Genomic DNA, 19,072 nt, shown 5'->3' with positions numbered 1-19,072 from the left:
CCAGCTCCACAGGGCCACTACCAATGGATTTCTTCTCCAGGCCAGCCCCTTCCTTCCCCAGAGGGGGCCTATATCCTTATGCGTGTATGTTTTTCAATGAGAGTTTTTTGCTTCACTGGACAATTCCCCCTGGGAGCTACCTACGGACTACAGTGGAAGGTTTTAGTTGTTGTTTTGGGGTTTTGTTTTGGGTTTGGTTTTGGTGGTAGTGGTAAAATCCTTTGTTCTGAAATGTTTTCAGACCAGAGCCTCCTCCCTGTGGTCACTCTGACTACAGCTAAGATTGTCCTTCCTCTTAGATAAGTGTTCTCAAAGTGCTTAGACTCACTATTTCCCTGGGAGCGGCGTCTTCCTCATGGAAATGAAGAACATTTTTCAAACAACATATGGATTTCAAAGGTGCAAATACATGAACTGTAAAATATGCACTCACTTTTCTACTCCTCCCAGTGGCCTCCTCTAATGTTTACTGAGCATTTACTAAATGCCCAACATTGTAAGCATTTTACATTCCCTAATTTAATCCTCATAACAATACTACACGTTACTTTATCATCTGCATTTTATGCATGAGAGAAGCAAGGTGCAGAGAAGCGATCATTTGCCCAAGCGCACACAAGGTAAGGCAGAGCCAGGATTACCTAAGCCACCAAGGCCACAGAGCAAGGCCCACAGTGCGACTCATCACTCTCCTTCTTAGACTCTGTACAGGTCTCTCACTCCCCTTTGGTCCCTCTTCCTCCTCCATCAGACCTTCAAATGCTGGTGTGACCCAGGGCTGGGCTCAGTGCTCTCCTGACTGGAAATGTTCCGCCTGCATGATTTTTAAAATCTACACTCATGACTCCAAGTGGAGAGGCCAAGGATCCTGAGCACTTGATCTCAGCCTCGGGCCTCTCTCTTGCATTTCCAAGCCCACCTCAAACTCACCACCTGACACACTGGAGTCACCTTCTAATGCTCCTCTCTCTGTGACCCTCTCAGTGGGTGGGACCACCCCTAGTCACCATCCCCACAGCTCAGTCTCCTGGTTCCACAGATGAGCCCTCTAGGCCTTCTGAACCTCTCCCATCCCATCCCATCCCACCCACCCATCCATCCATCCCACCCATCCATCCATCCACCCATCCATCCACCCCACCCATCCATCCATCCATCCATCCATCCCACCCATCCATCCATCCATCCATCCCACCCATCCATCCATCCCACCCATCCATCCATCCATCCCCCATCCATCCATCCCCCATTCATCCATCCCACCCATCCATCCATCCATCCATCCCACCCATCCATCCATCCCACCCATCCATCCATCCATCCCACCCATCCATCCATCCATCACACCCATCCATCCATACCACCCATCCATCCATCCATCCCACCCATCCACCCATCCATCCCACCCACCCATCCATCCCACCTATCCATCCATCCATCCACCCATCCATCCATCCATCCCACCCATCCCACCTATCCATCCATCCATCCCACCCATCCATCCATCCATCCATCCATCCATCCATCCCCCATTCATCCATCCCACCCATCCACCCATCCACCCATCCCACCCACCCATCCATCCCACCTATCCATCCATCCATCCACCCATCCATCCATCCCACCCACCCATCCATCCCACCTATCCATCCATCCATCCCACCCATCCATCCATCCCACTCATCCATCCACCCATCCATTCCATGACCTTCACTCTTGAAGTCCAGCTGCCAGCACTTCACATCCAGGTTCCTGCACAGCCTTCTCATAGAGTTGTGTGCTTCCACACGGCCCCCTGGAATCCATACTCCCCGCAACAGCTAGACTAGAAGGATCTCTCTAAACAAAACTGCAGCCCTGCCTCTCTGCTTGATGATTACTTATAGCTCTAATCCTAATCCTATGAGTGCTGAACTTGGAAATGGGGGACATCACAAGCTAGCTATTTTACCTTAAGCCTGAGACTGAGTATCTCTCTCAACCTCAGGTTCTCCATTTGTAAAATGGAGAAAATAAGATCTCCAGACCTGAACCATCAACTCTGAGGGTGGGGCCCAGCAGCATGTGTTTTAATAAGGCCCCTGGATGACTCTGATGAATTCTTAAGCATGAGAACCACTGGTACATTCTAATTCACAGTATTAATCACACATACGAAATGAGTTCTTCTGGAGAATAATTTTTGTGTGGCTTCAATTTTCATCATCAAAACAACCAACTGTCTACATGAAAACTCTCCTAGTCTGCTCCTAAAATACTCTGGCGTCAGTCATGAGAACTTAAGTAAATCCTGTGATCACTTTGAATCTCAGTTTCCTCACATGTGAAATGAGAGGAGAAAACTAGAAGTGAGGTCGGCAAACTTCAGACTACAGGCCACTGCCTGTTTCTGTATGATCTGCCAATTGAGAGTGATTTTTACATTTTAAAATGATTTTTAAAAATCAAAAGGAGTATAATATGTGAACACTGCATGAAATTCAACTTGCAGCGCCCCTAAATAAACTTTCATTGAAACCCAGCCATGCCCATTCATTCACGTTTTGTCTATGGCTGCTTTTGCACCATAACGGCCGAGTAGCTGCGACAGAGAACATATGGCCATGGAGCCTACAATATTTATTACCTGACCTTTTAAAGTTTGCCAGCCTCGGGGCTAGAAGATGACTACATTCTCCTCCAGCTCCATATTTCTACAATCCTATTACTTTACAGATTTTACTGTGTTCCTATCTTCAAATATCGCTAGCTATTTACATAGCAATACACCTAGTCAGCAAGCTGAAGTTTTGAAAATGCAATTACTGCTCTAGGTCATTAATTCTAGTGAATAAACCATGTTAATGTAAAGCTGTATTACTTTGTTCCAACACTTAACCATTGCTGCGGCATTTTACATAATTCCATCTCGTGAACGAGGTCCTATCAGTGAGAACAAGCAGTGTGCTGAGGCTTCCGGAACACGCTCTAGCCCATTATCCTTGCTCAGAACATTAAGGCACTTTCTTTTTTTTTTTTTTTTTTTTTGAGACAGAGTCTCACTCTGTGGCCAGGCTGGAGTGCAGTGGCACAACCTCGGCCCACTGCAACCTCCGCCTCCCGGGTTCAAATGATTCTCCTGCCTCAGCCTCCCGAGTAGCTGGGACTACAGGCACACACCACCACGCTCAGCTAATTTTTTTTATTTTCAGTGGAGTTGGGGTTTAACCACGTTGGCCAGGATGGTCTCGATCTCTTGATCTCATGATCCGCCCACCTCAGCTTCCCAAAGTGCTGGGATTACAGGCGTGACATTAACGCACTTTTAGTGGCTGGTTTGCTGTTTACATTTCCCGTGCCTAAATCTACCCTATTCAATAATGGTTTCAATAAAGGAATTCTTCCTGAGGATCGTGCAGTGGGGAGGGGGTACCACCTTCAATGAAGAGAATGTATGTCCTGTACTGCCCCTTTCCTGGCTCATTCTCTCAGATTCCTAATTAGCCTTGGCTGCCTGCAGAGGAAGAACAGGGGGCTCCTTGGGGATGCCCCCAAGTGATGGGGGGATCAAGTCCTGCTCTTCTCATGAAAAGAATCATATTATGTTAGGGCTGAGAGGCACCTTAGAGAACATTCAGTTCAGCCCATTATGGTGAAGCCAAGAAAGTATAAGTGACTTGCCCAAGGTCAGGCAGCCTGTCTGTAGTAAATCTGGCGCTAGAGCCCACATCTCTTGACTCTAAATCCAGTGAGCTTTGCAGCATCTCAAAATCCTTTTTTGAAACGCCCGACATTCTTCTATTCCATGTCAAACTTGAGAATTTAAGGGAAGGACCCTGAGAGAGAGAACACGCTGGGTAACCTTCTGGGCAGCAGCTGACACCAGTTCATTTTCCGAGGCCTGGGGGCGGGAGAAGAGGGAAATCCCTAGGCCAGGGATTCCCCAATGAGCTCAGTGAGGAGAACCAGACTTGATTTTAATTCTTTTAAAATTTCCAATCTATTGTAGACTAATGGTTTTGTGGAGTACAATAAAAAGGAGGAAGCAGTGTTTGATTGTTTTGAAAATTTCTGACTCAATTTCAGTTCTTGCCTCATCCCAGACCAGTAACAGTTTGAGGACCGTACTCTGGAAACCACACTCTGAGCCACATTGATCTCATCCACAGACTGGTGTTGGCACAAAGGATGCAAAAGAGGCCAGAAGCTTGGAAGACCATGTTGGGAAGCCCACAGTGCCACACTGGCCCCCAGTGAATGGGCCCATGGCCAAGGGGACACTTTCAGCTCTTCAAGCTCCAGCACAGCTGCCTCTGACAGGAACCTAAAGCCTCTGACAATATCACCGAGGCTCTTCAAAGACCAACTTCTTCAAACAGTGCTTCTACCAAAAAGGAGGCACAGCTTCATCTTAGGGCAATTAGATCTGTTGAATCACTACCTTGTAACCTTCTTAAAATACAAGTGCTATCGAACCAAGGCTGAGTTTGTAATACCTTTGGAAGACTGGGCATGAATAAAGGATCCTGACACCATGAAACAGGAGTTGACACGTTATGAATCTTAGACTTTGAAGAACCTAGAAGACCATCTGCCTGAAGTAAGAGTTACCTTAATCAGCTTTGTCTCAAGCAAGAACAGACTAATGGTGAGGATAGCCCCACTGTGCAAAGGAAATGGGACAGAGGAATGGAAATTGTTGAAAATCAGAATCTTTGCAGAGTAGTATCTATGCTGCATGTGGCTCAAGGCCATACAGAAGCACCAGCAGGAAAACCCACACTGCCACGCACACTGTACCCTACCTCACCCTAAAGCCGTCCTTAAAAATGGGTTTATTTGGAAATAATGTCAAACTTATAAAAAGTTGCAAGAATATTACAGAGAATACCAACATACCCTTTATTCAAATTCACCTACTGTAATAATTTTGCCCCATCTGATTGATTACGCTCTCCTGCCTTTCTCTCTGTGTGTGTGTGTGTGTGTGTGTGTGTGTGTGTGTACAGAACCAGTTGACAGTAAGCTGCATGCACCATTGCCCTTTTATCTTATATGCTACAGTGTGTATTTCCTAAGGATAAAGGCATTCTCTTACAGAACCACAGTATATTACCAACTACAGTCAATTTCATATTGATCTAATAGCTTCATCTAACCTACTGAATTGGATTCTAATCTTGTTGACTGGCCCAATAATGTTCCTTTCTTCCCACTCCAGAAAAGATCCTTCATACTTAGTTGGCATGTCTCTATTTAGACTTCTTTAACCCAGAGTGATTACAAGCCAGTTTTATTTTGTTGAATGCTATTTGCAACTGAATTACCAATAGTCTTAACGGAAGACATGGAACTATCAGACGCATGGAGGTCCTGTTCAGTTGCCATCTTGGGTTTGGGGGGCACACTGCTGTGTTTTCAGGAAGTTTCTGTTTGAATGGGGACTTTCTGGTGCTCCCAGAGACTAAAACCCTCCTGGTGTGGTCCCAGAGTATGTCACGTTCCACACTGTGGTGAGGTCTTCCTCAATTTCCTTCATATTTGACCATTCTTGGGATAGTCAAACTAGCCACAGAGGTGTGATGGCATAAGATTGGGCCCACAGCAGCTAAGTAACCAGATTCAATCACTACAGCCCACTTATTGGCACACATCTTAATTAGGTTTTAATGCAAGTAATTTGATAACAACTCCTGGCCGTCCGCTACGGAACCGTCAATGCTGAAAGCTTTTTATTTAGCTCCTCTTCTGTCCAAACCAAGGCAGCCTCCCCGCTGACCCTTGTCAAAGAACCCCATCTGCTGGTTGCCACGGTAACTGAAGGCGACCAATTGAGCTGAACAGAGTGACTCAGAAATAAAATCTGCAGCCAAAGGAATTCTGCAAAGAGCAATAAATCATTCAGTAAAAGGGGGTCCTCCACACACTGATGAGTGTTGGGATAATATGATGGCATAACTCTTCCAGCTAGAAGGTCCATGACAGATCAGAGTGATTAGGCCTGCTGGAGGGCTCATTTGGTTTCTAGTGGGTTCCAGCAGCAGACGAGATGGAGCCTGCCCAGTTGTGTGCCACTGTGGGGGAGAAGGAATACGCGGAGTCAATTTTTAATATTTGGGCTGCAAAATTTTGCTTTTTGAGGAGTGGCAAGAGAACCAGTCTAGGCTTCCAACACCCCTTCCTCTATTTTTCAAAAGTAGCACACGTTCACAGAATGCCCCATTTTAGCCCAAAAAGCACCTTGAGCCTTGAGGAAGGTGACAAAGAACAAATACCAAGATTGCTTTGCAATATGCCAGTTTAGCACCATCTCTCTGTCATCAATCAACTTTTAGGTGTTCCAACCAGAAACCCTCTGTGTGCATAAGCCTTGGGTCCTCGCGAAAGCAGGGGAGAGCCTGGGATTCAACTCAGAGGCCCCAGAGGATCTCTGAGGATGATCTGAGAGCGGACGAGGGGTTTGTCTCTCCCCAGGACTGGGTCAGTGTTGCTTATGGAGCCCCATACACATCCTTCCCACATTAAGATTTCCTGAGTAAGAGGCGCCGGAGGGAAGGGGGAGCAGGGGCCTTCTTCCAGGCTGCTCCCGGTTACAGTACACAGTGGCCCCTCACCCCTCACACCACAGGCCATGGGTCCCAGTCACAGCCCCCACTCCTGGTGAGCACCTGCTGGGTAGACTCGGAAACCCCTGCAGGCAATAGAAAGACCCCCGCCCCAGACATGCTAAACCATCCAGACAGTATTCACTGCTATATGTCCGTCTCTTGGTTGTGTTGGGAGAAGCAAAGCTTAGTGGCGGCGGTAGAACTGCCCTGATAGCAAATGACAACAGGAGAGGGGCTGTAGGACAGGGCTCAGGGCCTGTGCGTGTCCGGGAGGGGCTGCAGGACAGAGCTTGGGCCTGTGCGTGTCTGGGGGCGGCCTGCCCTGCCAGCTCCTCTCCTCCCAGGCTGAATGCCACCTTTTACAGAGGTGCATTGGCAGGATCCGGACATTCCCCCAATCCCTGACCCACATGGCAATGGGGTACCCTATTACTAAGTCATCCCTAGAGATAATTTTCTGCTTCAGAAAAGAGCAACTGCTAAACAGAAGGTAGATTTTTCCCCGATTCTAAATGCTGCCAATAAAATGCTTCAGTCTCGGAGTTGAGTGAAATTCCGTTGACGGAGTTAGGAGCGGCTGTGCACGTTCAGGACGAGCCTCCTCCCTTACTCAACCAGTCCGAGGAGGAGCGCATCTAGCCGAGCCCTGCGCTGCCACGCCGCGTCCCGGGAGCTCCCAGCCTGCCTTCCACCCCACGCTGGGCAATTGTGCCTCTGCAGGTGGAACAGACCGCAGGGCTCCACGTGCGCCTCCCGCACGCCAGCACCTGCTCTCGGGCCACCGCGGAGCGCTCCAGGCAGGAGACACCCCTCTCCCTCGCCGGGCAGGGTGGCCTAGGCGGCCAGGTCTCAGCGCTGCCGGGCGGTGCACCGTCCTCTCGGCCTCCCTGCCCACCCAGACCTCCCGGCGGCTGCTTCGACTCTGGATACTAGGCCCGGGCTCGGCCGAGTCCCGAAGCCGCGCGAGAGGGCCTGGAGCCCGCACCTGGAGGGCAGCCGGCCGGGGCTTGGGGAGGCTGGGTGCGGAGCATCTGGCTCAGGCGACTCCACGGGGGCTCGCAGGGCCTCTGGACTTTGGCAGAAGGAGAGGATTAAACCGGGATGACGGTTGAGAGGAGGAGATGGGTGAAAGCTTCATTAACTCCATGCTCACGTCCCAAGTTCTTTCCCCTGAGAGGCAATGAGTAAAAAGGTTGATTTCCCCGCGATGGGAAAGGTGCTGCGTGATTGCATTTGCTTTTCTTACCTTTTAATTCCTTATTTGTAAACCAATGAATCATTGTTTGTCAGTGATCATGAAGGACTCAAATTTTAATAAACAGGAAAAAAAAAATCTTGGCTAATAGGCCAAAGAAATACTGCAACCCGTTTACATTTCTATGTTAGTGATTAAGCTTCTCATGTGACTTAATTGAAACTGGCAAGGATCTTGAGAACTCAAAGAAGTACTCCCCCGGCCCCCCCCCCCCCCCCCGCCGGCAACTCTCCTCCAATAACCAAACTCATTTGTAAGACCCCTCCTAAAAAGTGCCATGGAAAATGGAGCTTCCTGATTCCATAAAAATATTTTCAGTAAGTACTGCTTCATGACAGTTGTTCAGACTTGAATTCCCTTCCTCTCTTTACAAAGTTACCGTTTAGTTTCACTTCTGAGCCCTACTTCCAATTCTTTGTCTCTGCTCACTCTCCCGCTTTCTCCTCCATATTTCAATTCCCAGACACTCTTGAACTTTTGCACACGCTGCCAGTTTGAGCCTGCACAGAATAATCAGTATATTAATTCCACTCGGAGACAGTGAGATTTTTCTAACACAATCTGCCCAACCTGAACTCTTTCCTTCAGAAACACTTCGCCTTTAAAAAGAAACTTCCCAGCATGAACCTCATAAGAAGCGACATGTAACAGACAGTGCATGTGGCGCTGGGCATGCAGCTCAGAATTAAAAGAGAATTTTTTACTTTGTTTCTTCAGTGCCATGTGCATAATGTACATGTGGATGAAACTGACATCAGACATTTAAAGCAAGAAGGGGTAGGGGGAGGGGGATGTGATGGTGGCGGGAAAGAGAGAGAAAATATGTTGATAAAAACAGTAACTTCTGTTAATCTACATTTTTCAGTCACTGTCTTAATTAAGAATGTTAGGAAATATGTTGCAGTTTAATTGCATTGTTTCAAGAAATTCTAAGACTGACAAATTTGGGACCATGTACACTTGGAAGGTAAAAGAGATTAAAGTAGGGATTTCTTCCAATTGGTGGATAACAATCAAAATTATGCTTTCTACAGACACACCCCCCACACCCCCGCAGAGATCCTAAACTCGGAAGACAAAGTAAGAATATCCTAGCACTTAACATGTTCAGCATGAAATGAGTTCTGAAAATTTAAAAACGTGTTTTAAAACCTAGGTATATGAGATAAATTTTAAATACAAAGAATTGACACAGGAGAAATAGTACTTTATCTGAAATTTCTGGTGGACATTTATGTTTGTAGAAAATATTTATGAAGGAATTTGGTAACAATCTTCAAGTGATTTTCAGATGACCTTGTTTAAGATAGTAAAAGTTGTTTGCTGGAGTCACAAATCCATAAAAATAATAACAGTTTGAAGACACTTGAGATTTCTAGACTTGTGTCCTGTTCTCCTGCTGGAGTTCAGTCACACATTCTCCAGGTTTCATTTCTTTTTTTGAGGAAGCCTTTGCATTGTTCCACAGCAAATAAATTAGAATGTATTTTCATTGCTCGAAGTACCTTTGAGGGAAGCTGCAGTAGGCATGACAGCTTCCTATTTCCCACAGTTGACCATAGGTGACTCATTTTCAGCCTGGACACAGCTGACCATAAGTGAATTCATTTTTAACCTGGATGCTGCATTTCTTACTTGCTTCCGTTTTTGGGGTCATTGCCTGTGAGAAAGGAGGAAGGGCACTCTGCCCCCATGGTGTGCAGCACAGACCAGGTACTGACCTCTTTCTCCAGCCCTGGACTTAGAAACAGACAAACAAACAAAAATGCCCACCAGGTACTGACCAGCTACTCTCAGGGACTCAAGCTGATGACTTAATTCAAACTGGTTTGATGATTTAGTCAGATAAATGGACAGGTTCTTTGACTGAATCAACTAGCCATTTTATCTTCCATTAAGCACAATGTATGACACACCTGGAGCCTCAGGCTTTGTTATCTACCCCAGAGAGGAGGCAGACCTAACTATATCAGCAGCTAAAGACACTGCACTGCATGTGCCATGACCCTGAAACATCAACAAAACAAGATCTGTTTGCCCTAAAAGGCAGCTGAAATGTCCAAAGAGCCTTCCTATGAGAAGAAACTCACCAGATCTGTTCTAGTTGTGAGGTCTCACTGCTTCTCCCGCCTCCAGCCTCCCAAAATAAGAATGGCCTGAGAACCTGACCACAGTTGAAATACTGCCCATGTGTTGCCAGCCTCACAGTGTTTCAGTTCTCCAATTTACAGTATATTCATACAGTATTTAAATTATGTATTAGAGAGTAGAATCCTGAGGTCTCAAATTGCTGAGTAAATGGCACCTGTGACCTAATAGTCCAATGCTTTCACTAGTATGAAATTAGAATAATTTTTTTTAATGCCACACATGAGGTCCAAAATAGTGATGCTACATATTTCTCATGTGCTTAACACCTAGGACGACGTAAAACTCCCAGTTAACTCATTAAGAAATGAAAGATTTTCCATCTCCTGAGGCTTCTGGGAATTCTGATGGGTGGATACATCATCCTCCCTCCACCCCCCAACCCCTGATAGCAGGGCAGCCTCCTCCGAAAAGGCCTTTGTCAAGAGGCACGAAAAGCTGGCCTGCTGAGCCTGGACCCCCCGTGGAGGGCCGAGGGAGAGGACACAGAAGAGGACTGGGGCATTATTAATTACCAGATTAGGGACAGAGTAGAGTTCAGGCAGACACAGAGGCAGACAGAACCCACGAGCGTAATAAGTTGAAAAGTTCCGAGTCAAGTCTCAGAGTTCGAAGAACATTAAATGAAGAATACATAATACTGGGGGAAAAAAGGGAAGCAGTACCCGCCCGAGGGCCAATTGCCTCTCCAGCAGCGGCAAGGCTGTTCCTGGGCTCGCAGGACCATTTGTTCCATTACACAATCTCCTGAAGCCATTTAGAGAGAGCTCAAACAACTGCCTGTACCAACACGACACATGGCTTCCCATCCCGACTCTGCTAATCCAGACGCTCCAACCATCTTTCCTTAAGATGCCATATGGTTGGCAGAAGCCTGTAGATCTAGCAGCACATCTGCTTGTACGTTTCTTCTTCCCTCCATCCCCCAACAAAAGAGGGATCGAGAGACAGACTGAGGGGAGAGCATGCTTGTGTACCTCTGCCTATACAGATATTTCTTCTTATGCACTCTAACAACAACAACTATGAAAGAGATGACCAGGAAGTATTCAGGGCTCGATCATTTTTAACTAGAGAACATAGCGATTTTTCTTTTGCTTGTTGATGCTATAGAAGAAGATGAGAAAAACAAAGGGTGGACAGTCTCCTTTCTCCCAAGGATGGTGACTTTAAAATCACTTCAAAGCTCGCTCTCTCTGGGAATCCTTGTGATGCTGTCTTGCCACAGGAGGGGGACAGCACCCTTGCCTGAATCTATTTCTTCTCTTCTTTTCGGTCAAGGAAGACAGACAAGCTGAGAAACTAGCAGATACCCAGAGCCTGCTTTGTTAGCAAGCACAGCACGGCTGTATGCTAATGAGTCGGCACCGACACAGGGCTTTTTTGGTGTGATGAGCAAAGATTGTTGACACCGTTGAAATCCTGGCTCCCCTGGCCTGTGAGTGCACGGGCTGCTTCCTTGGAATCCAGCCCCCAGTGAGACAGGCTGCAAAAAAAAGAAAAAAAAAAAAAGGAAAAGGAAAAAAAAATTCTACTCTCCTAATGACTGAAATCTGGCCATTTGTAACTTAGAGCAGTTGGGAAAAGTGGGGGCATTAGAAAAATATTCCATCAGGCCAGGGATCAAAAGACACAGGTGAAAAGTATGGGTTTCCTCTGAACTAGAAACGAAACCTGGTGAGCACATGTGAGTGATGACGGCCAGGATGCTTTAGGAGCAAAAACCCAAAAGGCGGAGTGAGGGGGATTCTGAGGCCCCAGCCCCGTCGGGGCAGCTGGAGCACTTGCGCCACATCTGGGCAGAAGGCACTGCACACATGGGACAGCCTCGTTGGTGGCTTCATCTCAGTCAGGTGAAAGGCGAAGCATCTGATCTCCTTGTAAATCTGTTTAGACCTTGTGTTGTTAACCAGACATGGTTTTTCTTGTGTGTGGAACTATGATCCAGTGAAAAAACAAAGCAAATATTCTACTGTTGCTATACTTTTTTTTTTTTGGTAACAAAGAAGGGTGGAAAGGGGAGTTACATATTTTGAGTATGGGGCATGTTATCTGAAGTACCCCTTTACTTGCCAAGAAACTCTGAGAGATAGGTATTATTATTCCAGTTTAATAGATGAGGAGACTGAGGCTTAGAAGACTAAAAAAAAAAAAAAAAAAAAACCAACACTTTCGCAAAGCCCTGTAGCTAGGAAGGGACCAAACTGAAAAGGCCATGCCTATCTCCTTACAATACGCTAGGTTCCAGATGCACACATGCACTCGCAGGCAGATACATTACCTCATGAATATGCCCAGGGTCCAATATGCCAATCTGAGCAGATCACTGTGAGCTGGTGAGCAATAAGCTAGTTATCATTAGTATGCAGGCAGGGGCATCAAATTGTAAATTCAGTTTACTTGTAATCCACAATATGAATGAAAATTCATGTAACTGAAATGTAAAAACATGAGGAGTGACTGAAAAAGCACTGAAAATTATAATAAAAATCAGAATTTATCCACTCAAAAAAGTATGCCCTTCAAATTATTCACCTTGAGGACAGCATGTATATTTCAACCACACTGCCATTGCCTAGGACTCTGCTGACATGTTCTTTTATTTGGAACTGCCTTCATAGCCAAGGGCTTAGTGGTACAAATATCTTTTGTAGGTAGCTACATATACAAGTTTGTGAGTGAGGATGTATTAAGTGCATTTCATCAAAATCATACATTTTAACAAAAAAAGCATGCCATGGATGCTATACTACTCAAAAAAATGACAAATCAGCCTAAACTAGATAATATGAGTCCAATTCGACCGTTAATAAAGTCAAGAAACTATTATTAGCAATTCTCAAGGTTATCATCATTGATATGTGGCTTTGTAGAAGGATAAATCTGAATTTAAAATAGATCTGGGTCGAAATCTGAGCATGATCCTAAGCAAATCCTTGTAAGCCTATCCTTTCATTTGCTCTATAAAATCATACTATGTCTCTCACAAGATTGTTATGAGAATTGGAGAGTATATAAAGTGACTGGTGCTTAGTAGATCCTCAGTAAATAAACATACAATCATTATTATTTTCACAGGGTGCTTCAGAGCATATACGAAGTACTTTTCACATACGTTAGCTCAGTCAACTCTGAAACCCAGCTCTGTTATGTAGGAAGTATTTCTTCTATCTAATGAATGAGGTAATTGTGATTCAATAATAAAAATAGCAAAAGCAATAAACAATATGTATTGAGCTCTTTCTATGTGCAGTTACTGTACTAAATGCTTTGTCAGCCATTTTATTTTTATTAATTAATTCTTTTAGAGACAGGGTCTTCCTCTGTCATGCAGGCTGGAGTGCACTGGCATGATCACAGCTCACTGCAGCCTCAAACTCCTGGGCTCAAGTGATCCTCCCACCTTGGTCTCCCAAAGCACCGAGTTTACAGGTATGAGCCATTGCACCTGGCCGCATTTTAAAATCTTAACATCAGGCCAGGTACGGTGGCTCATGCCTGTAATCCCAGGACTTTGGGAGGCTGAGGCGGGTGGATCACCTGAGGTCAGGAGTTCGAGACCAGCCTGACCAATATGGTGAAACCCCATCTCTACTAAAAATACAAAAATTAGCCAGGCATGATGGTGGACGTCTGTAGTCCCAGCTACTCGGGACACTGAGACAAGAGAATTGCTTGAACCCGGGAGGCGGAGGTTGCAGTGAGCCAAGATCATGCCACTGCACTTCAGCCTGGGTGACACAGCTGACTCCGTCTCAAAAAAAAAAAAAAACCTTTGAAGAAGGTATTATTGATAATATTATGATCCTCATTTTATGGACAGGGAAACTGAGGCTAAGAGATGCTACAATATCTTGCCTAAGTTCACAGGGGTAGTAAGTGGTAAAGCTGGAACACAATCCCAGGTCTGTCTTCTAAACCTATTATTGCAGCAACGGCTGGAAAATCCTGTGCCCTTTTGTCCATACAACAAGGTCCTTGGGTGGAACTCACGTAGAGCTACTGGGCATTTGATAAGGAAGTTTTGTAGCACAAAAATCCTTGTCCTTACCAAATTTCTGTGTATGCTACCAAACTTTACAGAGTTCATGGTTCAATCATCCTATGTATGTTGACATACACTCATACATGTGTATGAACACTGGGTGCTCCCTACAGCATAGTTAAAAATTAAGGCAGTGTTCTTTATAAGATGGCAGGACGTGACATGCGTTTCAATGCTTCACACACAAATACACACCAACAAAGCTGTCATTATATATGTGGAATCTGATTTAACATAACTAAAATTGTCAGAAATTTCTTATCAAGAGAATAGTCTTTCAGTAAAAATGAACTATCCAGAGAAGCCTTCCAAATCAAAATTATTTGCAAAGGATGCTAGAACATTTGGAGGTTCCTGATCAGATGCTGATATGAAGAAATGTAAACGGGTGGATCTCAAATGTGGATTTGCGGTGCACATATGTGCTTAACCAGACAACTCTCTCCGAATAAAGCCACTGGGCTTCTCTTGTGAACTCTCCTCTTGTATCTGATGATAGAAGAAAAGGATGCTGGAATCTCAGCTGGGTTGTTCTCTACCATTCTGTTCACTCCCTCACTGGTGTCTCCTTTATCTGACTGGAGCTGGACTGATTGCTATAAGCCAAGTCTCTCTCACTGGTTCTCTCCTCTGGTACCACAGCTTCCACACTCCTGATTTCACTGCTGACTTCAATCCAGTTCAAAGTGGAACATGGAACAGGATTTAAAAAGACAAACAAAAAAATGAAAGCCTTTGCTATCCCTCCAGTGCTTCCAGATTCATCAATCTTTGATCACATAATCAGTCAACGGTCAATAGCAGTGTCCAGGAGGGTCTACGCACAATAGGTTGTGAATGGAGATGTGTTACCTGGAATTTAGCGCTGTTTGGGCACAAGGTGCCCCCCAGGTTTCCAACTTTAAGGGTATAAATCTTGAAGGCATCTAGAAAGGATTCTGGAATGCAGCATGAGGAAGCAGCACTCCTATCCCTCCAGAGTGGAGACCTGCATATTAACTGCTCCACCCAGAGTGAGACCTGGTTCCCCAGTGGGAGACACTGTCAATTATCTGCCTCTCATTAATTTAATAGGCTGCAATAGTCCCGGGTTGTACCGCAAAAACAGAAGTATTGTCATATTCTAACTTTGGTAACAGTACGGGCAGAATGAACTTTCCCTGCTGGACTTGAGCACCTTCCTTAGTCAGCTTGTCTACTCTCGATAGGACCTGTGTAACATCACCTCCCAGGCATAATACAGGCTCATTTCCTATTACAGGCTGCTTCCTGTGCTGGACACTTTAAACAATTCACCTAGCTAATGTTTGTTGAGTACTTACTATGTGCCCTGCACTGTTCTTAACATTTCTGTGTAATAACTCATTCAATCCTTGAGAGAAGACTGTGACACAGGTAGCACGACTGTCATAATTTTACAGATGAAGAAGTTTACTCCCATGTTAAGTAGCTTGCCCTAAAATCGCATAGCACAGAAATAGTAGAGACAGGATTTGAACTTAAACTGTCTGAGTTCAGAACCTGCACTGTTAACTACTCTTCTCTCTAGTGAATCTCAGAGGCATTAAGTAGGAAAGGGTATGAGGCCCAGCCTACCAGCCATGGGAATCTGTGACATTTAGCCTCTCTAGGCCTGAATTCCTTCAAAGTAAAATTTAATTTTAACAATACTTCTCCTATATACATCACAAGGTTGTTAGAAGATCACATATATCAAATAAATCAAATATTGATATATATCAAATGCCAGTTCTCACCATCTTCATCAGGGCCTCATAAATTGCCATCCTTTGGGTGTTAACTGGGGCCCCCAAAATGAAAACCAAAGTCCTTTGCTTTGCCAGTTGAATACAGGAGCAAAGACTAGCTCATAGCGCATTGCTATTTCAACGCTTTTACCAAAATGGTCTCAGATGAATTGAATAGGTAATGAAATTAGCCAGCCCCACTAAGATAGAGAGTGAGAGTCTGCCCTAGAATAGGCTATGGAAAAATGAGCGGTATCTTCTCTTCAGAAAGCCCTGAGGTCATGCTAGTCATCTGCCTGTGGTACACCAGGATATTAAAAATAATACCACAACAATACGCTGGACACAGTTAACATGATGAAAAGGCCGATGAGATTATACATAAAAAAGAAATGCTGCCTTTCTGTTAGAGACAGAAAAAAGTGTTAATACAAATGAACAGCTGTTTGGGAAGAAAACATCATTTCCAAAACCCAGACAAAGCTCTGTTTATTACATTTCAGAGACATTTAAATTATAGTGTCTGAAAAACGATCCTATCATGGGTATCTGTGACACCTAAATTATCTGAAAATCTGAAAGGTTAAGCCGAAACAGAGGCTGTGTGAAAGACTAACATACAGAAAATTCTTTTTTCTCAAAGGATGAGGTGAATAAATCCTTTGCATGGGATAACTGAATGAGTACTAAGTTTCAGGACTAAACTTTTTGAATATCCAATAGAACATAGTACATTCAAAATTGATTTAAAGATGTTAATGTATGCTCTTCCAAAATTCGAAAAGCCAAATTCACGACTCCCATTGGCCTGTTGCTGTTCCTGTGTTCTTCACGCTGGTTCTCCTGGCTCGCTACTGCCTCCAGCTCCAGGCCTGTCTCAGATGCTCCACAGAAGGCCTGGTCAGCTCTCTCTGCTCACAGTGCCAGGCCAGGCCTATCATGGGAGGTGTTGGGCATGGCAGCCACTGAAGCAGGCTTGGGCAGGAATTTGTTCCCACCAGCCCCGACCCTCCCAAAAGAGACCATGACTCACCCATGCCTTTTCCATGGACTAGCATGTACCCAGCCATCTCTAGGCATTTCTAGAGAATAAACTGTCACACTTTAGTAAAAAAATTCTAGCTAAGGAAAAATAAAGGAAACTGTATTTAGTTGGCCCTAGGGAAAGTGAAACAATGATCAAATGATTGATCACACTGGGAGTCACTGTTACAGTCCAGTAGAGGTGGAATGCTGTATCTTTGTCCAGTCGATTCAATTAAAATACAGACATTAGAATGGAAAAACAACACACAGAAGAATACTCAAGTCTGTAATCACCTGTGACATGTACTGGAGCTTTCAATCTAGGTATCCTCACGATGGGGTGACCAGGACTTGAATGCCAGTGGGTCATCCAGCAGGAAGGAGTCTCACTCACCCTATGCAAGCATGCTTGCCTGCCTGCCTGCCTTTTCCCTCCATCGACTTCTTGTTTATTGTCCTATCTTACTTCCTACACACCTCACACGGTGTTGTGCAGCTTAGTTAGTCTGCGAAGGCTTGAGATTTTTCTGATGAAAGGTGTTATGGTGTTATGTAAATACACAGTATTATTTTGTCTTTATTCCAGCAATACTGGTTTGAAATAGTTCAATGTGTGTAAATATGTGTAATAATGTGTATTAATTTGATTTTTTTTAGCAATTCCTTGGCATCCCAGTTAACTAAGTGGCAGCAACCTTACTTGCCTGATGAAATATTAAGTATAGTTACAGAAAACTATTAACTGGTCTTTGTCCCTTTCAAATCAAATGCTAACTATATTAGTCTTCTAAGCACTTGTAATAATCTGCTTGAATACTAGACAGAATTACCAAGTTGTGACCTCCCATGAATAAAACAGAGGTATATGCAAAGGTTAAGGTTCATAACATAGCAACTAGCCCACCCCAGAGGATGGGAACAGGTGTGTAAGCTCCCCGAAAACAATTCGTGTAACTGGAAAACCTAAGTGAACAACATTCAGAAAAAGCACCACCAATGCCACCACATGCTTCAAACTCTAATTTACAAAAATCACTTTTAGGATCAGGTGTCAAACAGGGCCATGTTAATTGTGATAGCCACTTTTGTTCCCCTCTAGGAACAGCATTTCATCCAACCATGTTAACAATTTTGGGTCAAGAGGACATGAGCACAGCAACCCAACTTTCTACACAAGGCTCTGAATGAAGGGTTATTTTCAGCCGTCTCTCTAGCCAATGGCACCTACCCCTGCTGGCTCTCACGGGAACACCGAGAGTTCACATCCATCCCTTGGATGGGTATTTCCAAGAGATTTCATGATTTAAACAGTCTATGTGGCCATGTGCCCTACTGGCAGAACGGTCTCATTACCCTCCCTATCGAAGATGTCGGAGTACCACCCAGGCAAACAGAGTCAAAGGTGCAGGCTCTGGACTCATCACAAAGACAGGGAGAAGATGTCAGTGGATTACTAAAAACTCAAAAACCTAATCATATGGTGAATTTAATGAGTAATATTACCATGGATTACATTTTTGTTACATATATTATTTTTTCCCTCCCAAGATAAAAGTCTGGTTTTAGACCCATATTGTGAGTGGACTGTGCTATATTAGGCATTACAGGAAGCGGTTTCCATCAGGCTGGTCTTGGGGCTGGACAGACACAGGAGCAGCCCTGGCTGGCTGGGCAGTCAGGAGGTCCAGCAAGGCACAGAATCATGTCCTCATATTGGGGATGTCAGGGCTGTCAGCCAGAAGTCATGTGCTTCTTCTCATTTTGGGTCTTAAGTCTAAAATTGTTTTCTAAAGTGTGCAATCCAAAAAAATATTAGAAGAGAAAGGGCCTTATTCTCCTCTGCATACACTGCCTCTCCCTAGCCATCAAGTGTTGCCACTCTACAGAGCTCCTCTTGGCCTTCTCATGCTTACCTGTTCCTTCTTCTGTGCCCTACCCATGGCTCTTACCACAGTGCACTATGACTGTCTGCCTCCTGCACTAAAATGTTAGCTCCTTGAGAGTCAGGACTGAATCCTGCTGGTACCCATAGCATCCAGCACAGTGTCCAATACATGCAGCTGTTGAATGAAAGAATGCATTTTTAAGAACAGCATCAGTGGACTTGACTGTGTTTTGAAAGCTCCTATTGGCCCTGGATCAGATGTCACAGGGTAAGGGGAAAGATTTATTTATCTTTTAAAATAAACAGCTTTCAGAGAACCACTGACAAAACCATTTCCACCTTTGGTGGAAGCAGAGAGTTGGTTGCATGTGTGGCAGT

The 19,072-nt window shown here is 44.8% G+C and overlaps 1 protein-coding gene across 6 annotated transcripts in view, besides 2 other annotated features; it reads right to left on the bottom strand.

Moving 5' to 3' along the window:
* Positions 1 to 19,072, bottom strand: part of SDCCAG8 (SHH signaling and ciliogenesis regulator SDCCAG8) — a 244,051-nt gene that overhangs the window by 18,108 nt on the left and 206,871 nt on the right. The window lies entirely within an intron of this gene.
* Positions 5,683 to 5,977: a silencer, noted in NCBI's record as "tiled region #5448; HepG2 Repressive non-DNase unmatched - State 13:Ctcf". NCBI's record gives its function as "represses a minimal TATA promoter and a strong SV40 promoter by Sharpr-MPRA in HepG2 cells {active_cell/tissue: HepG2}" and the evidence as "EXISTENCE:reporter gene assay evidence [ECO:0000049][PMID:27701403]".
* Positions 5,998 to 6,171: a silencer, noted in NCBI's record as "fragment chr1:243639115-243639288 (GRCh37/hg19 assembly coordinates)". NCBI's record gives its function as "represses an EF-1alpha promoter that drives an FKBP-Casp9 reporter gene in an ReSE screen in phorbol 12-myristate 13-acetate-treated (for megakaryocytic differentiation) K562 erythroleukemia cells {active_cell/tissue: K562(+PMA)}" and the evidence as "EXISTENCE:reporter gene assay evidence [ECO:0000049][PMID:32094911]".

This window comes from Homo sapiens, chromosome 1, assembly GCF_000001405.40.
Source record: "Homo sapiens chromosome 1, GRCh38.p14 Primary Assembly".
In the NCBI taxonomy this organism is placed as follows: Eukaryota; Metazoa; Chordata; class Mammalia; order Primates; family Hominidae; genus Homo; species Homo sapiens.
The sequence above is the reverse complement of the archived record's forward strand: the minus strand, read 5'-3'. Positions and strand labels throughout refer to the sequence as shown.